Source organism: Homo sapiens, chromosome 15 (assembly GCF_000001405.40).
Source record: "Homo sapiens chromosome 15, GRCh38.p14 Primary Assembly".
Classification (NCBI taxonomy): domain Eukaryota; kingdom Metazoa; phylum Chordata; class Mammalia; order Primates; family Hominidae; genus Homo; species Homo sapiens.
In genome coordinates, this window is record NC_000015.10 from 25,814,495 (window position 1) to 25,841,031 (window position 26,537).

The following is a 26,537-nucleotide window of genomic DNA, read 5'->3' on the forward strand; positions in this document are numbered from 1 at the left end:
CTGCAGACCAACGTGATTGGGACTGGAATCCAAATCCCATTTGCCCTTTTCCTCAGTACCATCCGTGATGACAGGAACCTCATCTTCCTCTGTTTCTTCAAAATCGCTCTGGAATATGCCCACTTCATTGTGATCCCTGGAGTCCCCACAGTCCTAAAGCTGGGAAGCTGGGCAGGTGGGAGTCAGCTACTTCTAAAGACAAGTGAATAAGCCTTCTTTAAGTTAACTTAAGCTACCGTGCATTGCCCTTGGAACCGTTCTGTCTCATTTGGGAAGTCATTTGGCGTATAAAAAGTGCAAACACCTTTTATTTCCAAATCTGAGGACAGACAGAAGAAAAAGGCAGAGCCAGCCACATAGTCTGGTACTGCAAAGCTTGTCACAGCCTGGCACCAATGATGAAAAGCCAGTGAGAAAATGCACAAACACATGCATTTTTGTGTATGGTGTGTACCTTATAAATACGAAAAATCCACCTGGCTTATGAAGAATGTATACACAGGAAGGTTCTCTCAAAGAATCAGAATGTCCTTTTAAGGAAAAAGATGCCCAACAGAATGTCCTGCTGGTTGTTAAAATCAACTTGATTAGATGGATCTCCCTCCATCCCCTACTACCAGGTCGACATCACACCACCAGGCACTCAGAAGTTACGCTCCATGAAACCCGACTACTATTCTCCATCATAAGAAAAACAAAACCACAAATAAATGCCTACTCACTTAAACAACCCAGTTAGTTGAAATTACTGATAAAGGGAGATCATCAGTGCTCAAAATGTTTCACGTGACTTCCAGTTTCAGAACATGCATGGGCTTCTTGGGATGTGACCACGGGCAGGCTGCTCACACACTCTAAGCCTGTTTTCTCATTTTATATGTGCACAGACTTCTCACTGTGTAAAGGATGAACGGTAGCTCCCTATCTGCCTCAAGAGTCTATTCCCGACACTTTAAAAATAGCATCTATACAGTGCATGGGCAGTCTATTTCATGGGGGTGTCGAGATGCCAACCAGTGATGGAAAACTTAAATGCATCAGCTTTGCTACTTTTTAGCAGATGTTCTGCAAGTTGCAGAATCCTAAAGAGCAAAGAAACTTAAGAGTTCACCTCTCGCAACTGTTACCCATCACACAGACTAAAACCAAACCCAAAAATGAATTCTGCAAAAAAATTTGTTAAGCTTATTTAATCATTCCATTTTCTGCACATGTGAAAAACTGCTTTTTCCACGAAAATAAAATGTTGGAAATGTTAAAAGACTGTTTCTATTTGTTAGCCATTTTAGGAGAAAAGCTAACTTTATTAAGCAACTAGCTCGCCTGCTTAGAATAACACATTTTTGCTTTATATAGAGTATCTTTGTGTTTTAATTGACTTATTTTGGTTCCAACTCTTGCAAATGTAAGGAAATTTTGCCTAACTCTATGCTAATAATCTAAGGGTTAATCTGACAATTGTGTAGGGTGGAAAGTTTTAAGAAAAGAAGAAATTACTTAGATATTTTTAAATCAAAGATTTCCACGGTAGAAGATCTAGAATGCCAGTAATAATTGACTTATAGGAAAATTAAGAATATTTTTTAAAGTGAGATATACTTGCTTATTTACTATCAATAATATTTGAAACTTAGAATTTAAAATATTTTAAGTTGGTAAACAGAACTTCGAGAACAATAAAAATTATTATAAGTGAAATGAAAGATCTTATGTTGCTTCTCTGGGTTTTGTTTTATTTTGCTTTGTTTTTTTTGATGAGGGGTCTCACTTTGTTGACCAGGCTGGTCTCAAACTTCTGGCCTCAAGCTATCTTCCCACCTTGGCCTCCCAAAGTGCTGGGATTACAGATGTAAGCCACCACATCCAGCTGCTTTTCTAGTTCAGTTTTTAAAATTAAAAGTGGAAAAATATGGAAAACCAAATGAAAAACTTTTTCCTTTCTGACGGTCCCTAAATAATAAAATTGGTTCTACATATGATATAAATTCAAGTTTGTGTTAAGTGATGGGTACAGTAAAAATATGAAATACAGAATTCTGTGCAATTTTTAGAGAGCTTTTTAAAAAATATTTTCACAAGTACTGCCATTCCTTTCATACCTCTTTAAAAAGTAACAATCCACCATGCGAAAGATTTGTGTACTTCTTTCCCTAACCTTGCAATGTCGGTGATAATGCTATTCAATTCTGAGACGGTATGATATTGTAAAGAATTAACAAATAAGAAGAAAACATAATTTTTTTGTCTTAGTCACATTATTTTTTAAGGTATGACCTATCTGCAAAGTGAAAAGATCTAAGATCTCCACTTTTAATGTATTATTCTCCTTGTTAGGGAAAGAAGAGGCTTACAAAGAAAAATCTGGCATAAAAATGGATCTTAAAAATCCAATTGTAAAACAAACAAAAAAAATTCTGTTGTATCTTACACTCTTGGCTATAAACGGTGTGGGCCTCTAACCTAAAATTTGTTAATGTGTAGGAAAAAAAAATCCTACCTGAATTTTACAATTTAGCTAGTCTATATAATATACTATCTATAATGCAACTTTCTCTGTCTTTCTCTCTCTCTGTTTTTTGGTTTTGTTTTGTTTTTGTTTTTTTCTTGAGACAGAGTCTCGCTCTGTCACCCAGGCTGGAGTACAATGGTGCAATCTTGGCTCACTGCAACCTCTGCCTCCCAGGTTCAAGCAGTTCTCCTGCCTCAGCCTCCCAAATAGCTGGGATTACAGGCGCCCGCCACCATGCCTGGCTAATTTTTGTATTTTTGGTAGAGACAGGGTTTCACCATGTTGGTCAGGCTGGTCTCAAACTCCTAACTTTGGGTGATCCTCCCACCTCAGCCTCCCAAAGTGCTGGGATTGCAGGCGTGAGCCACCGCACCCAGCCTCTCTCTCTAACAATGTGGTTTGTATCCAACTAGAAGGTGAGGTTCTTATTTAAATTAGATCAGTTTAATAAATCAATTTCCAATTTGGATAGTATAAAGACAACTGAAATGCAAATATTAGCAATATGGGGAAATACAACTTCACTTAGCATATTTAATCCTATGAAAGGGTCTAAATAAGATTGATAAAATAATTTACAGAAGTGCAGAAAACAACTGCTCAAATGCACACAAATTATTCTTTCCTTTCCCCCAAATCTCTAGTCTACTCTGATTATAGCTGGGAGGACACTGATCATCACCATGGTTCAAAAGAAATAACAAGGTTCAATTGTCAGTTCAGCTCAATACATGGATATCCACCTCTACACATTATTTAACCTTTCCTGGGGTCAGATTTCTTGTCTCTAAAATGGGAACAATACAACACGGGGCTCTTGTGAAGATGAAACGGTTTAAAGAATTTGAAAGATTACATGTAATAATATGATGATGATAAAATTCTGTTTGCAATGTACATTCCTTTAAAGAGAATATACAAAGTTGTATTCATTTTTGGTTTTCACTAGAAATTAGTTTTAGTATTCTAGTTAATTTTTGGCTGGTCAGATGGTAGTGGGTTATCAGAACTTATTAACATTGCTGTCACTATACAATCCCCCCACTGCTAAATTTTACTAGCTTTTAAAAAATTATTTTTAAAAAAAGCAATTTGCATGGAAATTGTTTGAAACATCTGGGATATAAATTCACTAATATATTAAAAAAACCTAGAAACACATAAATATCTCATACTATTATTTATTTGAACTTAAATCCCACTAAAGTGATCTCTAAGGAAACTTGAATTTTCAATTTAACTTGATTTTTATGCAAACTATGTAAAAGTCAAAATATTTGCTCTTTATAGGAGATACTCCTAATGCAAGTTAAATCTAGAATAAGTTTTTAATACGAAAAATATATTATAAGCCAAATATACAAAAAAAGGTTAAAGAAAGGTAGTAAGTTCATATTAAACAAGTATTTTTAGAAAACTACAAAACATTAATAAAATAAACTGTAGATGACACAAACATGGAAAACATTCCATGTTCCATGTTCGTGGACCAGAATAATTAGTATCATTACAATGACCATACTGCCCAAAGCCATCTACAGATTCAAAGCAATCCCTATCAAAATACTAATATCACTTTTCACAAAATTAGAAAAAAACCATCCTAAAATTCATATGAACCCAAAAGTGAGCCTGAATAGCCAAAACAGTCCTAAGCAAAAAGAACAAAGCCGGGGCATCACATTATCTGACTTCAAATTATATGTGAAGCCTTTAGTAATCAAAACAGCACAATATTGGTACAAAAATAGACACACAGACCAATGGAATGGAAGAGAACACTGATACATTCAACTGATCTCACAAAGTCGACAAAAACGTAACACCAGGAAAAAGGACACCCTTTTCAATAAATGGTGCTGGGGAAATTGGATTGCTACATGCAGAAGAATGATCTGGGACCCCTATCTCTCACTCTATACACAAATCAAGATAGATTAAAGACTTAACTCTAAGACCTGAAACTATAAAAGTATTAGAAGAAACCCGAGGGAAGACTGCTGGACGTTGGTCTAGGCAAAGAATTCATGACGAAGACCTCAAAAGCACAAGCAACGAAAACAAAAATAGAGAAATGGGACTTAAACTAAAAAAGCTTCTGCACAGCAAAAGAAATAATCAACAGAGTGAATAGACAGCCTGCAGAATAAGAGAAGACATTTGCAAACTATGCCGCTGACAGGGGATTAACATCCAGAATTTACAAGGAACTCAAACAAATTTACAAAAACCAAGTAACTCCATTAAAAAGTGGGCAAAGAACATGAATAGACATTTTTCAAAACTAGACATATAAATGGCCAACAAGCAAGTGAAAAATGCTCAACGTCACTAATCATCAAAGAGATGCAAATTGAAACCCCAATGCGATACCTCCTTACACCAACCAGAATGGCAATTATTAAAAAGTTAACAAATAACAGGTGCTGGTGAGACTGCAGAGAAAAGGGAACGCTTAAACACTGGTGGTGGAAATGTAAATTAGTACAAATCTATGGAAAACAATATGGAGATTTCTCAAAGAACTAGAAATGGAACTGCCATTTGACCCAGCAATCCCACGATAGGGTATGTACCCAAATGAAAAAAAAAATCATTATATCAAAAAGACACACCTGCACCTGTATTGTTATCACTGCACTATTCATAGTAGCAAAGATGTGGAATCAACCTAAGTGTCCATCAAAGGATAACTGGATAAAGAAAATGTGGCATATATACACTGGAATACTATTCAGCCATAAAAAGAATGAAATCATGTCTTTTGCAGTGACATAAATGGAACTGGAGGTTGTTATCTTAAGTGAAACAACTAAGAAACAGAAAGTCAGATACCACATATTCTCACTTATCAGTGGGAGCTAAATAACATGAACACAAGGATATAGAGTGTAAAATGATAATATTGGAGACTTAAAAAGGGGGGAGGGCGGAAGGAGGTGAGGGATGAGAAGTTACTTAATGTGCATTATATACATGTGGTAGATACATTAAAAGCCCAGGCTTCACCCCCAGGCAAAATACGCTTGTACCCCTTCAATTTATACAAATTTTTAAACATTTAAAAATTAAAAACAGCACTAAAGGAAGGAATACATTGTATTATAGATAGAAATAGAAATACATATAGATAAATAAAAATATGATAGAACTACAGGATCATAATTTTAAACCTTCAATAAATAAGCCAGCTTCACATGAACAATCTGCATCAGCAATAACTAGCTCAAAAATCTGGGAAAAGGGGTTTGTCCACGGAAGGTAGGTCCATTCACCATAACACAAAAATTACAAAAGTTAAAGAAGTAAATTTCAAAATTAATGGACAGAATGTCTATGGAGAAAATGGCAGTACTTTCTGAAAGACTTAAAAAGGAAAACTGGGCTAATACAAAGACATACCGTGTCTTAAACAGAAACACAGTATACCATACTGATGTTGATTCTCCTGACAGAAGAGCAATCCCAACTAAAACTCCAAAGTCGAGGAGAGAACCTGACAATAATTCTAAAACTTACATGGAAAAATAAATAGGTGAAAACACACAAGAAAACAATTTCAGAGGTGGGTTTTCACCACTATGTGTTGAAATGTTTATAAATGTTCGGCATAGTGTGCAAGATAATAGCAGTGGTCTGGGAAAAAATGTTTTAAAAAGAGTACAATAAAGGTCGAATTTTATGTGGTAAAGAAGAGAAAATTCAAAAATGCTGCTTGGGAAAATTTATTATATGAAGGGGAAAAACAACACCTGTACCCAAACAGAATACATATTTAAAAGTTCCAGATAAATTAAAACATAAAACCATAAGGCAAACAGAAATAAATGTAGGCAAATATTTGCATATTTCAGGGTTCAAAAGAACTTTTTAAGTTAAAAAGTACTTAAAAGGGAAAAGGTTGATATATTGGAAGGTATGCAAGTTTTCCACTTTATGTGTCAAAAACACTCTAAACAAAATTGAAAGTAATGATAAAGTGGGAAAAATACTTGACAGATAAAAATAAACATACATTACAGTCATATCAATATATCCTATAAACTTTTTAATTTAAAAAACCTTAATTTTTAGAAAAACTGGCAAAGAAACAGGCAATTTAAAGAAGCAGCAGACTGGGCACAAATGGCTCATGCCTACAATCCCAGCGTGCTTGGAAGCTAAGACACGTGGATCCTTTGAGCCCAGGAGTTCAAGACCAGCCTGGGCTACATAGCTAGACCCCTACAAAAAAAGTTACCTGGGTGTCATGGCATGAGCCTGTGGTCCCAGCTACTCAGGAAGCTGAGGTGGGAGGATCACTGCAGCCCGGGAGATCGAGGCTGCAATGAGAGCTGTGTTCTCACCACTGCACTCCAGCCTGGGTGACAGAGTAAGACCCTGTCTCAAAAAAAACAAAAAAAAAAACAAACAAAAAAAGCATATGGCTAGTGACCTTACAGAAACAACATTGAATAGATAAAAACTGGAAACAAAAAGATGTCATTTTTGCCTGCCTTAAAGGAAAGATCAAATTTAAGGGGGTGGCCCAGTGTCAGTGAGAGTTGGGGAGGGGCCTCTCTGGGTGAGCATTTCAACTGTGGCATCCAATTTTGGAAGGGGTTTTGCTTGAAATCACTGGAAGAGTGCACAAATTTGTCTACAAGGATCTATGCCCAGGTCAAAACAAATAATGAAGTCAATGGTCACACTCTTTAGAGCAGAAACATTGTAGTCTTTAGAAATCATATTTTTGCAGAATATTTCATGGCGTAGGAAACATAATACTGTTGGGACAAACATGGGACACAAAACTACAGCTATGCCAAATTGGTAACAGCTCTGAATGGCAAAGAATCCTGCAAATGATGGCTGTTTTCTTCCACATTACTCTAGGGTCCAAATGATCTACAGGAAATACTGTGTACCTTTTAGAATTATGAAAATTCAGTCAACCCTCCAGTACGGAATCCTGTGGGAAACTGGTTCTAGGAGTCCCCCATACCAAAATTCACAGATGCGGAAGTTTCTGATCTAAAATGGCATAGTGTTTGCATATAATCTATACACATCCTCCCACAGACTTTCAATCATCTCTAGATGCTTATAATACCTAATACAATGGAAATGCCACGTAAATAGTTATTATATTGTATTGTTTAGAGAATGACGACAAGAAAAAAAGGTCTGTATGTGTTCAGTATAGACCCAGTGATTTTTGTCTTTAATACTTTTAGATCTGAATCCAGGGATGCAGAACCCATGGATACGGAGGGCTGGCTGTGTGTGTTATTTACAAATATATGTTGTAGGATGCCAAGTTGTTCGGTAGTACTTCTGAAAACACAAATAATGGTAAATAATAACCTATGTTTTTTCAGCATTTCATTAACATTCTAGACTGGATATGTAACTTTGGGACAGGTGTGAATTTTATTGATCTGACCTATGCTTTGCCCTCCCATTTCTGCTGGCCTAATGATCAGAGTGGCAGGCAGGCCCCAGGGTCCTGACACACCTTTGCCTATCGCACAATAAGGCTACATGAGGCAAGTAATACTCCCAGTTTACAGAGGAGCACAAGGCCTAAGTGTCGCACCCAAATTGACACAATGAGCTTCTAAGCAGAGTGGAAACAAAACCCTGACCTGTCTCACTCCAAGGACAAACCTAGTCACATACCCTCTGTACCCCTCTCTCTCTCACACACATACAGAACCTGCTGCTTAGAAAATAATTATTAGAGAAAATTACCTTAGAGATAACTATTTCCCCTCACCTTTTATACCTTATACAAAGCAGTATATCATCAATTCACCGTTGAATCAATGTTTAACTGCAGTAAGTCAAAGTTTTAGCCAAATAGAATTGCTAATTTCAACCTAAAATAAAAACAAGCTAGATTCCTATGTAATATTTTTTCTTAGACTTTCCATCTAGGATTGTAAATTCTACCTTCACTAAATTGTGAGTCATTTAATCTAAATAACAACTCTTTTTTTTTCAAGGACATGAAAAAAATAAGAACTATTGATGCTTCTGCAATGTACAAACTTTCAGAAATTAACTATTCAAAGAAGCAACATTTTTTAAATTAAACTTTTATTGTTTTTGAAAAAAATCTCAAGAGTGAAACAGAAACTGGGGTTTGGGCTTGGAAAGCACACAGTGTTTTTAAATTAATGGAGGGTTTAATATTTTAAAGAATCTGGCTTCAATGGTATGGCTAATGGCATTAGCAACAGAAAAAAACCTCTTCTGCATCTTGATTACACATTAGCAACAGTATCGATGATAGTAATAGTACAGACAATTGTTCAACTCTTATAGATCATGAGGAATATTCACACACAACCTCATTTAATTCATACAATGTTTTCAGAAGAGTTATATTACACCCATTTAATAGAGGATAAAATTGAGACCAGAAAAACAAAGTGGCCTGCACAAGTTCAAATAACAACTGAAAACTTGAGGACGTCCCCCAGGTGCCCTTCTGTGGGGTCAGTGCCCTTACACAGGCATTCCTCCTGCTTTTGAGTCAGATACCCACTATGTTGTATTTCAAATGCTAAGATTTAAGTGACTGGACCAAATTGTTTCTAAATAGAAGTCTTCCAAGGAAGTTACGGTACAATTTATTCACAGCACCAAAAGCATTACTTGAATTAACTCAACTATTGTTGATCTTTAATTTCTATAAGGCAAGCAAAAAATTTTCATAGCATAACATTGCCCACAACCAAAATGTTCTCATAAATTCATTCTTGACATTAGAGCTTTTAAAATAACCATGTAGTAATAAGCAAACTTAAAGTTAACACATTTCCCAATTCATTACTATATTTAAAATAAAATAGCTACTTACTTTCCTATGCACGAGGGGTTGGCAAACTATTTCTGTAAGGAGCCAGAGAGTAAACATATTAGGCTCTGCAGGTCATGTGCGTTCTTTTGCACCTATGCACCTCTGCAACTACAGCACAGATGCAGCCACGGGCAGTGCATTAGCAGAACAGCATGCCTACATGCCAGTTAAGACTGGATTTACGAAAATGGGGGCTGTAGTTTACCAACCCCCACCACTTACTAAAAATTTGCTACAAGGCAAACTTACTTGTATATGAATATAACATTTATAGATTACACTTCCTACTATTAAAGAGAAAAAAAATATTTCACTAAACATAGTAATTGAAAAAAACATTTCTCAGCCTGGCAAGGTGGCTCATGCCTGTAATCCCACCACTTTCAGAGGCCATGGCAGGAGGATTACTTGAGCCCAGGAGTTCCAGACTAGACTGGACAACACAGTGAGACCTCTATTAAAAAAATACAAAGAAATGCTGGGTGTGATGGTGTACACTTGTGGTCCCAGCTTCTAGGGATGTGGAAGCAGAAGGGTTGCTTGAGCCCAGGTGGTTGAGGCTACAGAGAGCTGTGATCACACCACTGCACTCCAGCCTGGACAAGGGAGCAAGACCCTGTCTCAAAAAAAAAAAAATAGAAAAAAGAAAAAACATTTCTCAACTCATTCCTCTTCCTTACATTTTTAACATTCTCACTTTTTGTGTGTGTTTTTTTTTTTTTTTGCATTTTAACGAAACACATTTAATATCCTATGTTTAGGAAGTCAGTGAAGATGGTGGAGTGAAGGACCTCCAAAAATTATCTCCTTCATAAAAGCAGTGAGAGAGAACAATGGCAAAATACCGTCAAAATCAACTTTTTTCAGGTCTCTGAAAATTAATCAAATATTAGCAACAATCCAAAAACATTTATTCAAGAAAAATGGCTGAAACTCAGTAAGAACAGTGAGCTTTGTAGCGTTTTACGTTTCCGTATTTCCTACTCTCCTCACTGCAGCTCCAAGGTAGCCTTTAAAACCAGCCACTAGGCCAGGTGCTGTGGTTCATGCCTGTAATCCCAGTGCTTTGGAAGGCTAAGGCAGGAGGTTCGCTTAAGCCCAGGAGTCTGAGGTTGCAGTGAGCACCACTGCACTCCAGCCCAGGTGATAGAACGACACCTTCACTCTGGGAAAAACAAAACAAAACAAAACAAGAAACCAGCTACCGAAGGGCAAAATTCGAGGTTGGAGCTCCTTCAAAGCCCATACCAGAGAACTATCATTAGTTGACCAGGCTGCTTTTCCCTGGAAAATCCCATTCACAAGTCTGTGTTTATTTAACCTGACTTGGAACTCACCCATTAGGAAAAGCGTTTTCACTTGACATTTGTCAAATTAGAGGCAGTTGTTTAGAACATCTGAGATGGTGGCTATGAGGTGGGGCAAACAACAAGCAGATCAAAATCTTAAAAAGAAAGCCTGAGGAATGAGATATTAACAGAGGGCTTTGAAACTCCAGCATATTCCTGGGAATCTCTAAGACCACACCCATGTGTAGGAATATAAACATGCTCAGAGCTATGCATACACTCAGAAGGGACATGAGAGGGCCATGAGCCCTCAGCTTTGGCAGACATGAGGTTCTGCACAAGCAGGAATGAAGGCTAAGACAGAGAGGTAACCACCTGGCTCAGAGTTGAAGGTGTGCCCAAAACATGCACACATAACATCAGCAAAGATTAGGAGACTCTGTCCATCATTATTTGACCACTAAGATAATCAAGCACAGTCTTCAGTGGCTACCACAGGACAAAGAATACAGACCTTACAGAGCTGGTTCATAAAAGTCAATAAATAAACAACAATAGCAACAAACAGCAACAACAAACCCTGGGGAGAAAAAAAGAATTCAATTTCCAAAGTTTCCACATTGTTTTATTTTAAATGCCATTTTCAACAACAAAAAAATTATGAGACATGCCAACAAATAAGAAAAGAAAGTCCATGCACACAGGAAAAATTGTCCCCAAGCAAGCTCAGATGTTGGAGTTACTAGAAAAAATAAATATTTCCAAAAAATTAAAGAAAACCATGTCTACAGAAAAGTATGATAATAATGTCTCATGAAATAGAGAATATCAATAAAGAGATATTGCAAAAAAGAACCAAATACAAATTCTGGAGTTGAAAAGTACAATAAATGAAATAAAAATTTGAAGATCTCAACAGCAGATTTCTGAGCAAACAGAAAAAACAATCAGCAAACTTGAGAATAGGTCAATTGAGATTGCTCAGTATGATAAACAGACAGAAAAAAAATGAAGAAATAGCAACAGTCTCAGAGTCCCGTAGGACATCATCAAGCAAACAGATGTATGAATAATGGGAGTCCCAGAAAGAAAAAAGAGAGACAAAAAGAAGAAAGTACAGTTGAAAAAATAATGACTGGGTTGGGTACGGTGGCTCATGCCTGTAATCCCAGCACTTTGGGAGGCCTAGGTGGGTGGATCGCTTGAGCTCATGAGTTTGAGACCAACCTGAGCAACATGGCAAAATCCCATCTCTACAAAATAAAAATACAAACATCAGCCAGGTGCGAAGGTGCACCTGTAGTCCCAGCTACTTGAGAGGCTGAGGTGGGAAGATGGCTTGCACCCAAGAGGTGGAGGTTGCAGTGAGCCGATATTGCACCACCGCACTCCAGCCTAGGCAACAGAGCCAGACTTTGTCTCAAAAAGTGGAATCACCTGAGGTCAGGAGTTTACGACCAGCCTGGCCAACATGGTAAAACCCCATCTCTGCCAAAAATATAAAAATTAGCCAGATGTGGTGGTGCACACCTGTAATCTCAGCTACATGGGAGGCTGAAGCACGAGAATCATTTGAACCCAGGAGGCAGAGGCTGCAGTGGGCCTAGATCGTGCCACTGTACTCCAGCCTGGGCAACAGAACAAGACTCTGTCTCAAGAAAAAGAAGTAATAATAATAATGATGATAATGATAATGGCTGAAAACTTCCCAAACTTGATGAAAATCATCTATCTGCACATGTAAGAAGCTAAATAAACAATTCCTAGTTAGATAAACTCAAAAGAGATCTAAACTTATACACATCATAATCAAACTGTCAAAAGCCCAAAACCCTACATTCGGTAATGAACAGAAAGAATCTGGAAGAAAGAAAGAAAAAAGTGATGCAAGTCATACAAGGGACCTTCAGTAAGTTTAACAGCTGACTTCTGATCAGAAATCATGAAGGACGTGAAGGACAAAATGGAGTCAGGTGACATCTTCAAAGTGCTGAAATAAAGACTGCCAGTCGCTAATTCTATATTCAGCAAAAACTACACAAAATACATAGGTGAAATTGGACATTCCCAGATAAACAAAAACAGAGAAGTCACCACTAGCAGACCCCTCTCCTACAAGAAACAATAAACAGAGTCCTTCAGGCTGAAATGAAAGCACACTAGACTGTAACTTGAATAGATCAGAAGAAATAAAGAGCACCAGTAAAAGTATCTACTAAGTAAATATAAAATGCAAAGGTAGTTTTTCTTTGTAACTCTTTTTTCCCCTTGATTTAAAAGACATAAAGCAACATTTACAAATCTATGTTGATGGGCATACAAGGTATACAAGATGTAATTGACAGGACTTGACAACACCAGCACAGTGGAGGGAGGATGGTGGGGCTACATATGAACAAAGTTTTCATGGCACTGTAATTAAGGTGGTATTAATCTGACCTACATTGCTGGAAATTTAGATGCTAATTAAAACCCACAAGGTGATTACTAAGGAAATAACCCCCAAAGTGATAAAATAAATGACAAGGAGATAAAAATGGCACACAAGCAAATATCTATTTGACAAAAAAGGCGGCAGTAATGGAGGAACAGACAAATAAAAATACCTAAGACATAAAGACTGCAAATAGCAATATGGCAGACTTAAATCCTACCAACTCAGTAAGTACATTAAATGTAAATGGTCAAGTTCTCCAATTAAGAGGCAGAACTGACAGAATAGATTTTTTAAAAAGCACAATCCATCTATATGTGATCTGTAAGAGACACACTTTAGATTAAAAAATACAAATAGGTTGAAAGTAAAAGGATGAAAAAAGTTACACTGTGCAAAAAGTAACCAAAAGAGCTGAATTGGCTATGTTAGTATTAGAACAAAAAATAGACTTTAAAACAAAAAAATGATAGTACAAATCAAGAAAGACATTTTATGATGAAAAAAAGGTCAATCCATCAGAAGGCCATAACAATTATAAGCAAAAATGAAGCTAACTGTAAGTTCCCAAAACAAATGAAGCAGAAAATGACAGAACTGAAGGATGAAATAGACAATTTAACAATAACAGAGAATCCAGTGCCCCACTTTCAACAATAAATAGAACTAGCAGAAATTAACAAGGAAATAGAAGACTTGAAAAATATTATAAATGAACTAGACCTGACAGACAACTGTAGAATACTCTGCCCAGCAACAGTAGAATAAACTTTCTTCTTAAGTGCACGTGGCGTGTCCTGTAGTACAGACCATAAGCTAAGCCATAGAACAAAACTCAGTAAGTTTAAAGGATCGATACCATACTAAGTAGGCTCTTGGAATGAACTTAGAAATGAAATCAATAACTGAAGCAAATTTGAGAAAGACATACATACGTGGACATTAAACAATCCACTCTTAAATAACCAATGGATCACAGGGGAAATCACACGGAAATTAGGAAATACTTTGAGATGAACGCAAACAAAAATCCAACACACCAAAACATACGGGATGCAGCTAAAGCAGGGCTTAGAGGGAAATTTAACATCCCGTATTTGTTATCATTTGTATTGCTTTATCCAGTCATAAGCATTTCCATGTAACCAGAAAGTATCTTAAAATATAATTTAATAAATACACAGTATTCCAGTAAGTGAACCATGATATCTAATTATTATATGGATTTGGCAGCACTCATGCTGTGTTTTACATGTGCTGTTGTAAAAACTGACTATCCTCGGGCACTGTGATCTTTGACTGCATCAAAGATTATCTTCCCAGGATAGATTTATAGAAATGGAATTGTTCACTCAAAAAGGTAGGCATTTCTATGGCTGGTGATTCCTGGCAACCTTATTAATAAAGCTTTGCTCCACATCATGCATAACGCTGGAACATGTGCGAGAAAGGAGGGGGTAACAGACACACAACTCCAGTCTGTTTGCAAGAACCAACGTGGAGTAAGGAGGCGGAAAGTCGATGCAAATTTTATTTCCTTCTTTCCCATTTTTCTGGTAATAACACAAGTGTATTAAAATAATGTGGTGAAAAGTGCCTCTTTACAGACAAATTTTCATAAAGCCTGGTCACATCTGTCTGGGAGAAAGGGGGAAGGTTCGTTCAAACCTCTCCATGGCTGGCTGGTGATGTCACCTGTGATGATGTCACCTCACAGCACCCAGATCAGTGACTTTCAGAGCTTTGCATCCATTTCCCCTGAACTTAGGCTAAGGAGGCAAGATCAGTTCCATTTTAAGGATGAATTAAAATGGGATACCCAGGAAAAATGTCTTAAATATGTGAATAAATGAGTATTGAGTGTTGATGTTATTTGTTCTTTCAAAAAAATTTTTTTTTCTTGAGCAGGAACCAAGCATGCCGCCACACAGAAAACAAAGCTCTTGCTCCCAAGAGTTAACATTCTAATGCGGAGGAGGGTGGGTAGAGAAACATCTAAATGCCCAAATCCATACGTGGGTCAGACTGTAGTAAGATAAACAGAGTAGGGACAGAGATGAGGCATTTAGGGAGGATCTCCCTGGGAGTGTGACACTGGGAAAGGTGCCTGAACTAGGCAGGAGCCAGGAGAGAGCTGGGGGAAGGGGCAGCAGCCCAGGGCTCTAAGGCACGGCTCGCTCTGGAGTCCCAAGAGGCCAAGGCGTAGTGGGATGGGAGGCGGAGAGTGAGGGTACGGGGGAGGGACACAGTGGGCCACCAGGTACAGGACCCTGTGGGTCAAGCAAAGACTTTGGATCTCACTCCCAGGGAAGGGAAGACAGTGAGGCTTCCAAGAAGAGGAGGGCCCCAGTCTGCTTTCTATTGTAAGGAATCACTTTGGCCATTGGGTGGAGGATGCTCAGGTGTGTGCTAGGGGCCGGGGTGGAGGCAGGAGGTGGTTAGGGTAAGCTAGGAGGCCTCGGTCACCATCTGGAGGGAGATGGAGGTGGTTCAGGCGGGGAGAAGTGCGGTGGGCAGCCAGGTCCAAGGCCTCAGCCAGCAGGAGCTGTGAATGGAGCCACGGAGAGGAGGAGGCCTGGTGATGTGCCGCTGCCAGCACAGGCACCTGGGGGTAAATGCAGGAGAGGGGGTGCAGCCATGCAGCGCTGGCCTTCCTGGGTCATCCCCACCTTCCCCTCATTCAGAATGGCCTCAGAGGCCAGGCTCCACTCTCCTAAGGGGTGCTCTGCAGAGCCACCTTGGGAAGTCACTGAAAGGGGTGGAAGTGTCCCTCTATTGTGCCCTGAAACTAGCGGCCAGCCTGTCCAAAACCACACAGTTCTGCTAGAGGGAGTGGCAAAGGTTAAAATTCCCACCACACTGCCCCTTTGCAACAGCATTTCTCAAGTGAGAAACTGACTTGGGCTTCTTTACACCTTCCTTCCTTTCCAAAGAAAACCACGCCACAAGTTCAAGAATTTGGAGATTCCTGAACAGGCTCTCAGGAGGAGACCCAGACCCTTTCTCTCCGGGGGGGTCCTGTGTCCCTGCACTGGCCACATGATCTCTTAACAGCCCAGTTCGCCACGGCCCCCTTCCGTCTTCCCTCACTGTGGCTCTGGGATCTTCAGTCCCAAACTCAGAGGTGACAACTTATTTCTGTCCCCCTGCATTGTCCCATGAGGTCATGACATTTTAAGATGGTCTATATTAAACCTGTTTCAAAAGAAACAAGTGGCTTTAGTAAACGTGCCACCTGATGAGGCTTTCAGCACTTACCTGCTCCTGGGAATCACTGTTTCAAACCTAAGGACTTCATTTCCTCAGACTTTGAAAGGAAGCCAGGAAAATGATTCACTGAACTATGTTCTCAGAGTGGGACGGCAATACTTCCCAGGCTTCAGAGCTTTGGCTGTGCCGGGCCTCCCTTCATCTGGCTGCTTCGCTACATGATTCAAAGCCAAAATTATATTTGGGGCAAATGATGAGTCTGCAATGAAATGCAAACAAAAGTCCCAGCCACTCACCCCACCTTCCCCACCATGCCCTGCCCGCTCCTCAGCAGACAGGCTGGACCCCGTGCATACCCAGCACCCTCCACAGTGTCTGGATGTCTAGGACCGCTGCCCATACCCTCTCCCACCTCATTCCAAAGCTGTGTGTGGCTCGGGGGCCTCGGGGGCTCCACCCCGTATGAGATTCTCTCCCCGCTGCAATTACACATTGTTGGGCAAGTCCTGGAACTGTAATGGGCTCTGTGTGTTTGTGCTACCTCAGAAAAATGCTGGACTCACCCATGTGGACAGTTAATCTCCTTGACAACATTTTCCTGGAGAATGCTGCGAGCAGGGAATTCCTAATAGGGGATGGAACTGCATTTAGTCATTCTCTAAAAATACATGTTCAGTGTGTCGAGATGTGAAAATGGCTTTTTGTGGAGTGTAAATGACTGCCACTGACTTAGCAATATCCTCATAATTCTTGGCAATCAATGACAGTCTTCACAGATTCAGCTAAATACCATATGGATCGATATTTTGTGTTTCCTGAGTTTCTATCTGTCCACAAACTCTGAGCTCACACGATGTGCAAAGCATGGTACCAAGGGGAACCTGCACCTATAGAGGCTCCTATGGGCAACACCTCACTGCCTGACCCAGGTGAGGGGATCTAGAAGATAGCATTGTCATATATTTCCAAAGAGCCACACAACCTTCTGAACCTCCTGCTGTTAATAACTCATTATTCATGAGCAAAATGGAATGCTTAAAATAAACAAGCAAACAAAAACCCTCCAGTGCCAGTAGGACAGTGCCAGTACGTGACTTTGGCGATTACACTGTGTTGAATGAATAGTGTCCCCCAAAATTCATGTCCATCTGGAACCTCTGAATGTCACTTTATTTGGAAATACGATCCTTGCAGATATAGTTAGTTAAGATAAGGTTATACTGGAGTATGGCGGGCCCTAACCCAATGACTGGTATCCTTATAAGCAGAGAAAACAGAGACACAGAGACTCATGACAGAGAAGACAGCCATGTGAAGACAGAGACAGAAATCAGATCAACGTGGCTGCAAGACAGGGGACGTAAGGACTGGCGGCCACCACAGACGCAGGAAGAGGCAAAGAAGGATTTTTCTCTAGAGCTTTCCACAGGAGCACGGCCCTGCCCACACGCTGGTCTCAGCCTTGAAGCCTCAGAACTGTAAGAGAATACACTTCTGTTGGTTTAAGCCACCTGGTGTATGGTAATCTGTTATAGAAGCCTCAGGAAACTCATTCAGCAATGGGTGGAAAATCTGAGTGCTACTCTCCTAGCAGACACAAGGCCTCATTTCAGCAAAGGCAGCTGCCTGTGAGTGTGCCGGGCAAGGCAAAGTCATCACAAAGATCTGTCATGTTCTGGACCATTGTCGCAGTCTAAAATTGGCATCTTTATATTTAAGGTTGTCAATGACCAGATTCCATTTTTTGTCTTATGCTTACAGGTCCTATGTAAATTCGTTTCCTTTTTTTTTTTTCAAACACATTTCCTTTTTTGAATACACTCTGCTTTCGTGCGCTATATGTGAAGCAGAAAAATAAAACAAAAACAGGCAACATCTAGCCTTCTGCCCAAAGAAAGGAAATGAAAAGAGTATGTTACTGGATACTAAACTACAGCTGGAGAGGAGGGATAAGTTGTGGCATTCCGCAGCACTGCAGGGGGACTATAGTTAACAGTAATTTAGTGTGTATTTTCCAATAGCTAGAAGAGAGGATTTTGAATGCTCCCAATAAAAAGAAATAAGTATTTGAGGTGATAGACATGCTGATTATCACAATTTGATCATTACAAACCGTATACATAGGCAATATCACTCTGTGCTCCACAAATGTGTATAATTGTTATGTGTCAATTACATTTTTTTAATCTATTTTATTCTTTTTTTTTTTTTTTTTTTGAGACAGAGTCTCACTCTGTTGCCCAGGTTGGAGTGCAGTGGTGTGATCTCGGCTCACTGCAACCTCCGCCTCCTGGCTTCAAGTGATTCTTGTGCCTCAGCCTCCCAAGTAGCTGGGATTAGAGGCGGACATTACCACAAGTGGGTGATTTTTGCATTTTTAGTAAAGACGGGTTTTCACCATGTTGGCTGGGCTGGTTTCGAACTGCTGGCCTCAGGCAATCCACCCACCTTGACCTCCCAAAGTGCTGGGATTACAGGTGTGAGCCACTGCGCCGGGCCCATATTTTTTTATTTTTATCTTTAATTGAAAGAATAAAAAGCATGAATGCCTGCTGGCCATTCTCCCCAAAAGACCTCACTGAAAAGCAACACTGAGGTCTCTAAACAGCCAGAGAAGTCCAGCCCCGCAGAGCCGAAGATGACTGGTCTGAGGCCTGCTCACCATGAATTTCTTGTGATAACCCTCACTTTTATTTATTTAAAGAGCAGTTTGACAGTAGAGTACCCCTACCACACTTCTCTTCACTCTGGAGTGAAAAATTATTACAAAATGGATCACAGTGGAATGGCTAAATCAAGCTAATTAACATGCGCCGGGCAGTATTCCATTTTTTCTTCCTCTCAGTTCCTATGTTACTCCTGCATACTTCATGGACTTAATTTTTTTGTGCTAAGAACACTTAAAATCTACTCTCAGCCGGGTGCCGTGGCTCACGCCTGTAATCCCAACACTTTGGGAGGCTGAGGCGGACAGATCACGAGATTGAGACCATCCTGGCTAATACGGTGAAACCCCATCTCTACTAAAAATACAAAAAATAAGCCGGGCGTGGTGGTGGGCACCTGTGGTCCCAGCTACTTGGGAGGCTGAGGCAGGAGAAAGGAGTGAACCCGGGAGGCGGAGCTTGCAGTGAGCCCAGATGGCGCCACTGCACTCCAGCCTGGGCAACAGAGGGAGACTGTGTCTCAAAAAAAACGAACAAACAAAAAAAAAACAAACTACTCTCTCAGCAAGTATACAATACATTGTCATTATTTATTATTATGCTATTATATGCTATTAACTACTAACTATGTGTGTTATTAACTATTCATTACTCCACAATGTATATATATTTCAAAACATCATGTTTTACACCATAAATATACACAATTTTTTGTCAATTAAAAATAATAATTTAAAAAGTCTGTGCTTCAAAGGGCATAATCAAGGAAGCAAAGAGACAACCTGCAGAATGGGGAAAAGTTTTTGCAAGTCCTATTATCTGACTGGAACTTGTATCTACTAAAAACTGCAACTAAATAATAAAAGGCTGAATTTAAAAATGGGTGAAAGATTTGACTAGACAATTCCCCAAAGATGATACATAAGTGGCCAATAAACACATCAAACATCATGTACTTAACATCAGTAGCCATCTGGAAAATGCAAATCCAAACCACAATAAGATGTGACTTCACACCCGATAGATGGCTAGAGTCTGAAACAGACAGGTAAGCATTGGAGGATGTGGAGAAAGTGGAACCCTCGGAGAACTGCTGGTGGGAATGCAAACAGCTCTCCAGTTAAACCTCAGGGGTATCGTGTGCTCCAGCAAGTCTCCTCCTAGGGACATACACAAGAGAAATGAAAACACACGTCTATACACTAACTTGTACACAAATGTTCACAGCAGCATTATTCATAGTAGCCAAAAGTAGAAACAGCCCAAATGTCCATCAATGACAAATGGATAAACAAGATGTGGTACATCCATACAATGGGATACCATTTAACAATGAACAAAAATCAAGTACTGATACAGGCTACAATATGAATGAGCCTGCAAACATGCTATGTGAACGAAACCAGTTACAAAGGACCATGTATTACACATGATCCATTTTTGTGAAATGCGCAGACTAGGTAAATCTGTGGAGGATTAGGAGGTGACAGCTAAGGAATATGGGGCTCATTTTTCTGCTAAAAATGTGCTAGGCCAGGTGCAGTTGCTCACACCTGTAATCCCAGCACTTTGGGAGGCCGAGGCAGGATGATCACTTGAGGGCAGAAGTTTGAGACCAGCCTGGGCAACACAGTGAGACCCAGTCTCTACCAAAATTTTAAAAACAAAAATTAGCTGGGCATGATGGCATGAGCTTGTGCTTCCAGCTATACCTGGGAGGCTGAGGTGAGAGGATCACTTGAACCCAGGGGTTCCAGGTTCCAATAAGTGATGATCATGCCCCTGCACTCCAGCCTGAGCAATAGAGTGAGACCTTATCTCTTAAAAATTAATCAGTTAATTTAAAATGTTCTAAAGTTGATTGTGGCAATGGATGCAAAACTCTCCCAGATACTCAAATATATTAAAAAGCTACTGAATTGTATACTTTAACTGGGTGAATTGTATGGTACGTGAAGTGGGTCTCAATAAAGCCCCCGCAGGAGCAGCAGCCCACGGAAGCAGCTCCCTCCCTGGTCGCAGTGAGGGCAGGGACCATAGCTGCTTTCCTGACTATGGGGTCAGCACAGTTTTTGCCAATTGTCCTGAACAGGGTCCCAAGCCTGGCCCTTTGCACACAACAAGGCCGGCCATAGGAAACTTCATCCTTGGGCACAGCCTCCTCCCTCCCAATCAGTATTCCACTTTTATATTTTCTTTAAGAGACTGGGTCATATTCTGTCACCCAGGCTGGAGTGCAGTGGTACTATCATTGCTCACTGAACCCCAAACTCCCGGGCTCAAGCGGTCCTCCCACCTCAGCCTCCCAAGTAGCTGGAATTACAAGCTCGTGCCACCACGCCCAGCTAATTTTTTATTTTATTTATTTATCTATTTATTTTTGAGACGGAGTCTCACTCTGTCGCCAAGGCTAGAGTGCAGTGGTGCAATCTCGGCTCACTGCCAGCTCTGCCTCCGGGGCTCACGCCATTCTCCCGCCTCAGCCTCCCGAGTAGCTGGGACCACAGGTGCCTGCCACCACGGCCGGCTAATTTTGTGTATTTTTAGTAGAGATGGGGTTTCACCGTGTTAGCCAGGATGGTCTCGATCTCCTGACCTCGTGATCCGCCCACCTCGGGCTCCCAAAGTGCTGGGATTACAGGCATGAGCCAAAGCGCCTGGCCTAATTTTTCAATTTTTAGTAGAGACAAGATCTCACTATGTTGGCCAGGCTGATCTTGAACTCCTCACCTCGAGTGATCATCTTGCCTCGGCCTCCCAAAGTACTGGGATTACAGGTGTGGGCCCCCAGCCTGGGAGTATTCTACTTTTTCTTCCTCTTAGTTGCTATGCTATTCCTGCTCCTCTTTTCCCAGCTATATAACTTCAACTCTCTCTTTCTAACCTTTCCTCTTTGCTAATTCTCTTCTCTTTCCAACTTCCTTTCCGCGGGTTGTCTGAACCAACCATCCTACAGGTCCAGCTTGGCAAGAGAAACACACCCAACAACAGAGTGGCAACACTGGCTGCAAAATGAGAAGCATTTAAGGCTCACGGTGCAGGCTGAACACCAAAGCCAGGCAATCACGCACGTCGATTTCATCAAACTCCTGTCTACCCAAGTGAACATCAAGGCTGGACAGGCCCAGCACCTTCTGAAGGGTGTCTTCCAGGCAGCGCGGCCAGAGCTGAGCAGCCTCCCTGTTCCCTCAGGCAGCTTTGTCCCTACCTCTAGCAAACACACACACAGTGCCAACCATGTGCCAGGAGCCATCCTGAATCCTTTGCAGCTATTGGCTCATGGGCACCAGTGCCCATAGCAACCCTAGGAAGTGGGCACTATCGTTACTGTCGGTTCACAGTAGGAGATGAGGGCTGAAGTCACTTGCAAAAGTCTCCGATCCAGCAAGACCGTCTATGCATGTGCTGTCCCTCTCCCTGGCCTGCAAGTCTCTCGAAGGCAAGACCCAGTATTTACCTTCAGGTCCACACACCACCTGCCATGGGGCTCTCTTTTCTTAAAAAAAATTATTATATACATATAAGGTACAAAACATTATATTTTGATATACATATAACGTAGTGAAATACATAGAGAAATGATCACCACAGTCAAGCAAATTCACATATCCATCATTTCACACAGTTACCTCATTTTTTTTCGGTGAAAACACCCAAAATCTACTCTTTTAGCCAATTTCCGGTATATAATACAAGAGTAACTACCATATTAGCTTCAGTCCTCATGCTGTGCATTAGACCTTGAGGCTTATTTTTCCTACCTGCCCCTCAACAGGGTTCACAACAGCATTATTCAAAAGAACCAGGATACAGAAGCAACCTAAGTGTCCACTGAGGAATGAATGGATAAAGAAAATTGTATATACACACAATTCAATACTATGCAGCCTTTTAAAAGAAGGAAATCCTGCCATTTGCAACGATGTGGATGAACCTGAGGGACCTGAAGTGAAATAAGCCAGACACAGAGATGCTGTGTGATCTCACGCTAACAAACAATCTCAAACACACGGACAGAGTAGAAAGGAGGCTCCCGGCGCAGGGAGTGGGAGAAATGCGGAGACGGTAGTCACAGGGCAGGAAGTTTCAAGGCTGCAGGACGCATAAACCTAGGGCTTTCCATGTAGTAGATGTTGATGCTGACTGGTCCTGCTGACCTGAAGATCAAAGCCGAAAGTGTCTTTCAGCCCTCAGAGGATTTCCCATCTAACATGAACGAGCGCCACTGGGTAATGGACCAGAAGGCAAGCACGTCCACAAACAGCAAACTGCCCGAAAGGCACCTTCCTGCTTTGCGCTGGCTGGCAGGGTCCTGGGAAACAGCTCGAGGGCATGGGGAAGGCTCTGGGCTAACGGAAGGGGAAACTGCTCAGGAGCACGTGGCAGGCTCAGGTGGAAGGGGAGCCAGGCAGTGGGGAAGACGGGTGGGGAGGGGGAACTGGTGACAGTGCTCTTGGAAGGAAGGTATGCTGGAGCCTCTCACTGCCCCTTGGCAGTGTGGAGGATGGAAGAGGGACAGCTGAGCTGCCAGGGCTCCGGGCCATGGAGCTAGTTTGCACAGATTAATGTACAAGATTCACTGTTTTAGTAAAACTAGGGCATCCTGGGATTTCAACTTTAATACATTTCATTAAACATGAACCAGCATCCAACGTGTAGAGCAATGATGATGAAAGGTATGAAAGTCCATACCCTGTCTGGATGGCACTTGTTTGACCCAATTTGAACATAACAGAAACTGTGATGCTTTGATGTTTCAATCAAATGTGAAGCCAACACACTCAAAAAAGTGCTTATTACTCAGAAATAAGAGCCTAAGAGGCCTAACACTTTGGAATATACTGCCCATCTCACCCAGGTGACTTGCCTGCACCTGGCACGCTAGGTGTCTGCCCAACCCTTAGATTCCTTTAGGGAGATAGGAGTGAAAGCCCTGGAGCTGTCCATTCCAAGTGCCTTGTCTATGCCCAGCAAGGTGACAGTGACACCTTCACATCCCCAGCAAAGCCACCCTTGGCAACCTCCCTAACCACACTGTTAATATGAAAGCCTAAGGGGCCTCTCCCACCATAGAATTACAACCTCAGGGCTTGGCTGGGAGCTGAGGTGTCGCCCTTTAATCTCCATCCTAGAATCATATTTTAGTAATCCAGCAACGGAGTGTTATTACTCAAGTGCAGATGAAGTTTTGATTTTCTGCATCTTTAAACTCACTATGCAACAGAGTCCCTCGGGGCTTTTTAAGAGAAGCAGCCCTTTGAGAGTTGTGGCGCTTGATGATAATATCGCATGTGGCACTTCCTTAGTACTTATTTCCCCTGAGAAAATGGGGAAAGGACGGGCTTTACTCCAGGGTACTACTGCAATGTTAGAAGCAGCCTTTCTTTATGGTGAGCGAGCAGTGTGTTTGCAGAAGCATTTCCTATTGAGAGCTTCCTTGTCTTCCCATATAACTGCAAGACACCTGCCCCGAGTTCACTGTAAACTTGTCTGGTGGAGCAATGCGTCTAACCACAAGCTGGGTCATTCAGGAATATCCCATAGCAGTATAGTATTTATTTCTCTTTGGTGTCCATTTCTCATAACTGTGTTACAAAGGCGTGTTTACCTAGGTGACAGCAATGACTTAACAGCGGGCTTGTATCCAATACCCATTCTGTTTAGAAGACACTGGCTACACCTTAGCTCCAGTTTAAACTCCAGTGTCACAGGTGAAGGGCTGTGATATTCCCAGGATCAAGGCTGGGATAATATGTAACTCCAGCGTATGTGCGTCGGCGCATCCCTGCCAACTGTAATTATCCAAATTGCTCATAACTACAAGAACAAGTACATTAAAATAAAGTACTTTTGGTATTTCCAGGAGTTAATGTAATCTCATCTTCCAGAGCATTTTATGTACCCTTTATAACTAGACAGCCAAGTCTCCTTAGAGGCCAGGTCTGGGGGAAAAAAAGCAACATTCTCCCACTCTCCCTCAAGTTACTCATAAATCTTAATGCTTATCTCCGTACCCGTGAGAGATGCCGTTGACCAAGATCTTCATCTCTGCTGGAAAGAGGGTAAATCTACACTAGCCCTCCTTAGCAAGGCGGCAGGCTCGTCCTCTCTCCCGCTCTGCAGAGCATGCTGGGTCCTGAAAACCTCACATTCCCACCACTGGGCACTCCGTTGGCAGGAGCCCCACCTGGGCAACATGTGTACTGGGCACACCAAATTTCCATGTCTTCTTCTTATGCTGACTCCTTACCATTAATAACTCAATGGTCATATTTTAAGCTTTTTATTTCGGAATAATTACAGATTCATAGGAAGTTGCAAAGAAATGTACAGGGAGGTCCCATGCACCCTTCACCCAGCCTCCCCTAAGGCCACCATGCCCCAAAACCAGAGGACAAAATCAAAACCGGGAAATTGGCATTGGTACAGCCGACAAAGCTTATTCAGATTTCTCTAGCTTTAAGTGCATTCGTGTGCGTGTGTGTGCGCATGTGCATCTGTGCAGTTTCTCAACCACAACCGAAATAGTACCCACACACAATCAAGATGGCGCCAATGGGACAAGACCCCTCATGCTACCTCTCTGGGGCCACGTTCACCCCCTCCTGCATCCCTAACCCCTGGCAAACACTAACTTGTCCCTCATCCCCCTAAGAATGTTATTTCACAAATGTTCTATAAATGGGATCACGCAGCATATATCCTTTTGAAATTAGGTTTTCCTAACTTTTATTTTAGGTTTGGGGGTTTGTTACACAGGTAACAAACCTATGCACATGTGAAGGTTTGTTACATTGGTAAACTCACGTTATAGGGGTTTGTGTACAGATTATTTCATCACCCAGGTATTAAGCCTAGTACCCAACAGTTATCTTTTCTGCTTCTCTTTCTCCTCTCACCCTCCACCCTCAGGTAGACTCCAGTGTCTGTTGTTCCCTTCTTTCTGTTCATAATTCTCATCATTTAGCTCCCAGGCTTTTTCCATTCACCAAAATCTCCCTGAGGCCCATGCAAGTTGCTGTGTTTATCAACAGTCTGTTCCTTTTTACTACTGACTAGTATTCCACCGTATGGAGGGATCACAGTTTCTTTAACCACTTACCTTTTGAGGAACATCTAGGTTATTTCCAGTGTTGGGTTATTATTTAAAAAAAAATGCTGCGATGAACATTTCTGCAAAGCTTCTCTGTGAATGTAAGTTCTCATTTATCTGGGGTAAATGCCCAGGAGTGCAACTGGTGGATTATATGACAATTCTATTTTTAGTTTTGTGAAGGGACTATTTTCCAGAGTGGGTATGTTTTACATTCCCACAGCAACGTAGGAGAGATCCCATTTCTCACACCCTCAGCAGCGTTTGGTGGTATCACTCTTTTTATTTGTGCCATTCTGATAGATGCGCAGTGGTATCTCTGAGTGGCTTTAATTTGCATTTCCCTGTTTTGTAAAGATGTTGAACATCTTTTCATGTGCTTACTTGCCATCTGCATACCTTCTTCAGTGAATGTCTCATGTCTTGCCCATTTTTAAACAGGATTCATTGTTTTGTTAATGTTCAATTTTGAGAGTTCTTTACGTATTC

At 41.0% G+C, this 26,537-nt stretch overlaps 1 protein-coding gene and 1 long non-coding RNA gene across 9 annotated transcripts in view, besides 2 other annotated features; both read right to left on the minus strand.

The window, feature by feature from the left end:
- Nucleotides 1–26,537, minus strand: part of ATP10A (ATPase phospholipid transporting 10A (putative)) — a 192,852-nt gene that overhangs the window by 142,258 nt on the left and 24,057 nt on the right. The gene's annotated exons all lie outside the window — the stretch shown is intronic.
- Nucleotides 14,593–18,479, minus strand: LOC107984770 (uncharacterized). The gene is made up of 2 exons (XR_001751446.1): nt 16,853–18,479; nt 14,593–16,548 (listed from the first exon to the last, which is right to left on the minus strand). It is a non-coding gene; the product is annotated as an uncharacterized LOC107984770 (long non-coding RNA).
- Nucleotides 22,826–23,327: an enhancer, noted in NCBI's record as "H3K4me1 hESC enhancer chr15:26082467-26082968 (GRCh37/hg19 assembly coordinates)". NCBI's record gives its function as "activates a minimal SCP1, AML or CMV promoter by ChIP-STARR-seq in primed H9 embryonic stem cells {active_cell/tissue: H9 hESC(primed)}" and the evidence as "EXISTENCE:reporter gene assay evidence [ECO:0000049][PMID:30033119]".
- Nucleotides 23,328–23,827: an enhancer, noted in NCBI's record as "H3K4me1 hESC enhancer chr15:26082969-26083468 (GRCh37/hg19 assembly coordinates)". NCBI's record gives its function as "activates a minimal SCP1, AML or CMV promoter by ChIP-STARR-seq in primed H9 embryonic stem cells {active_cell/tissue: H9 hESC(primed)}" and the evidence as "EXISTENCE:reporter gene assay evidence [ECO:0000049][PMID:30033119]".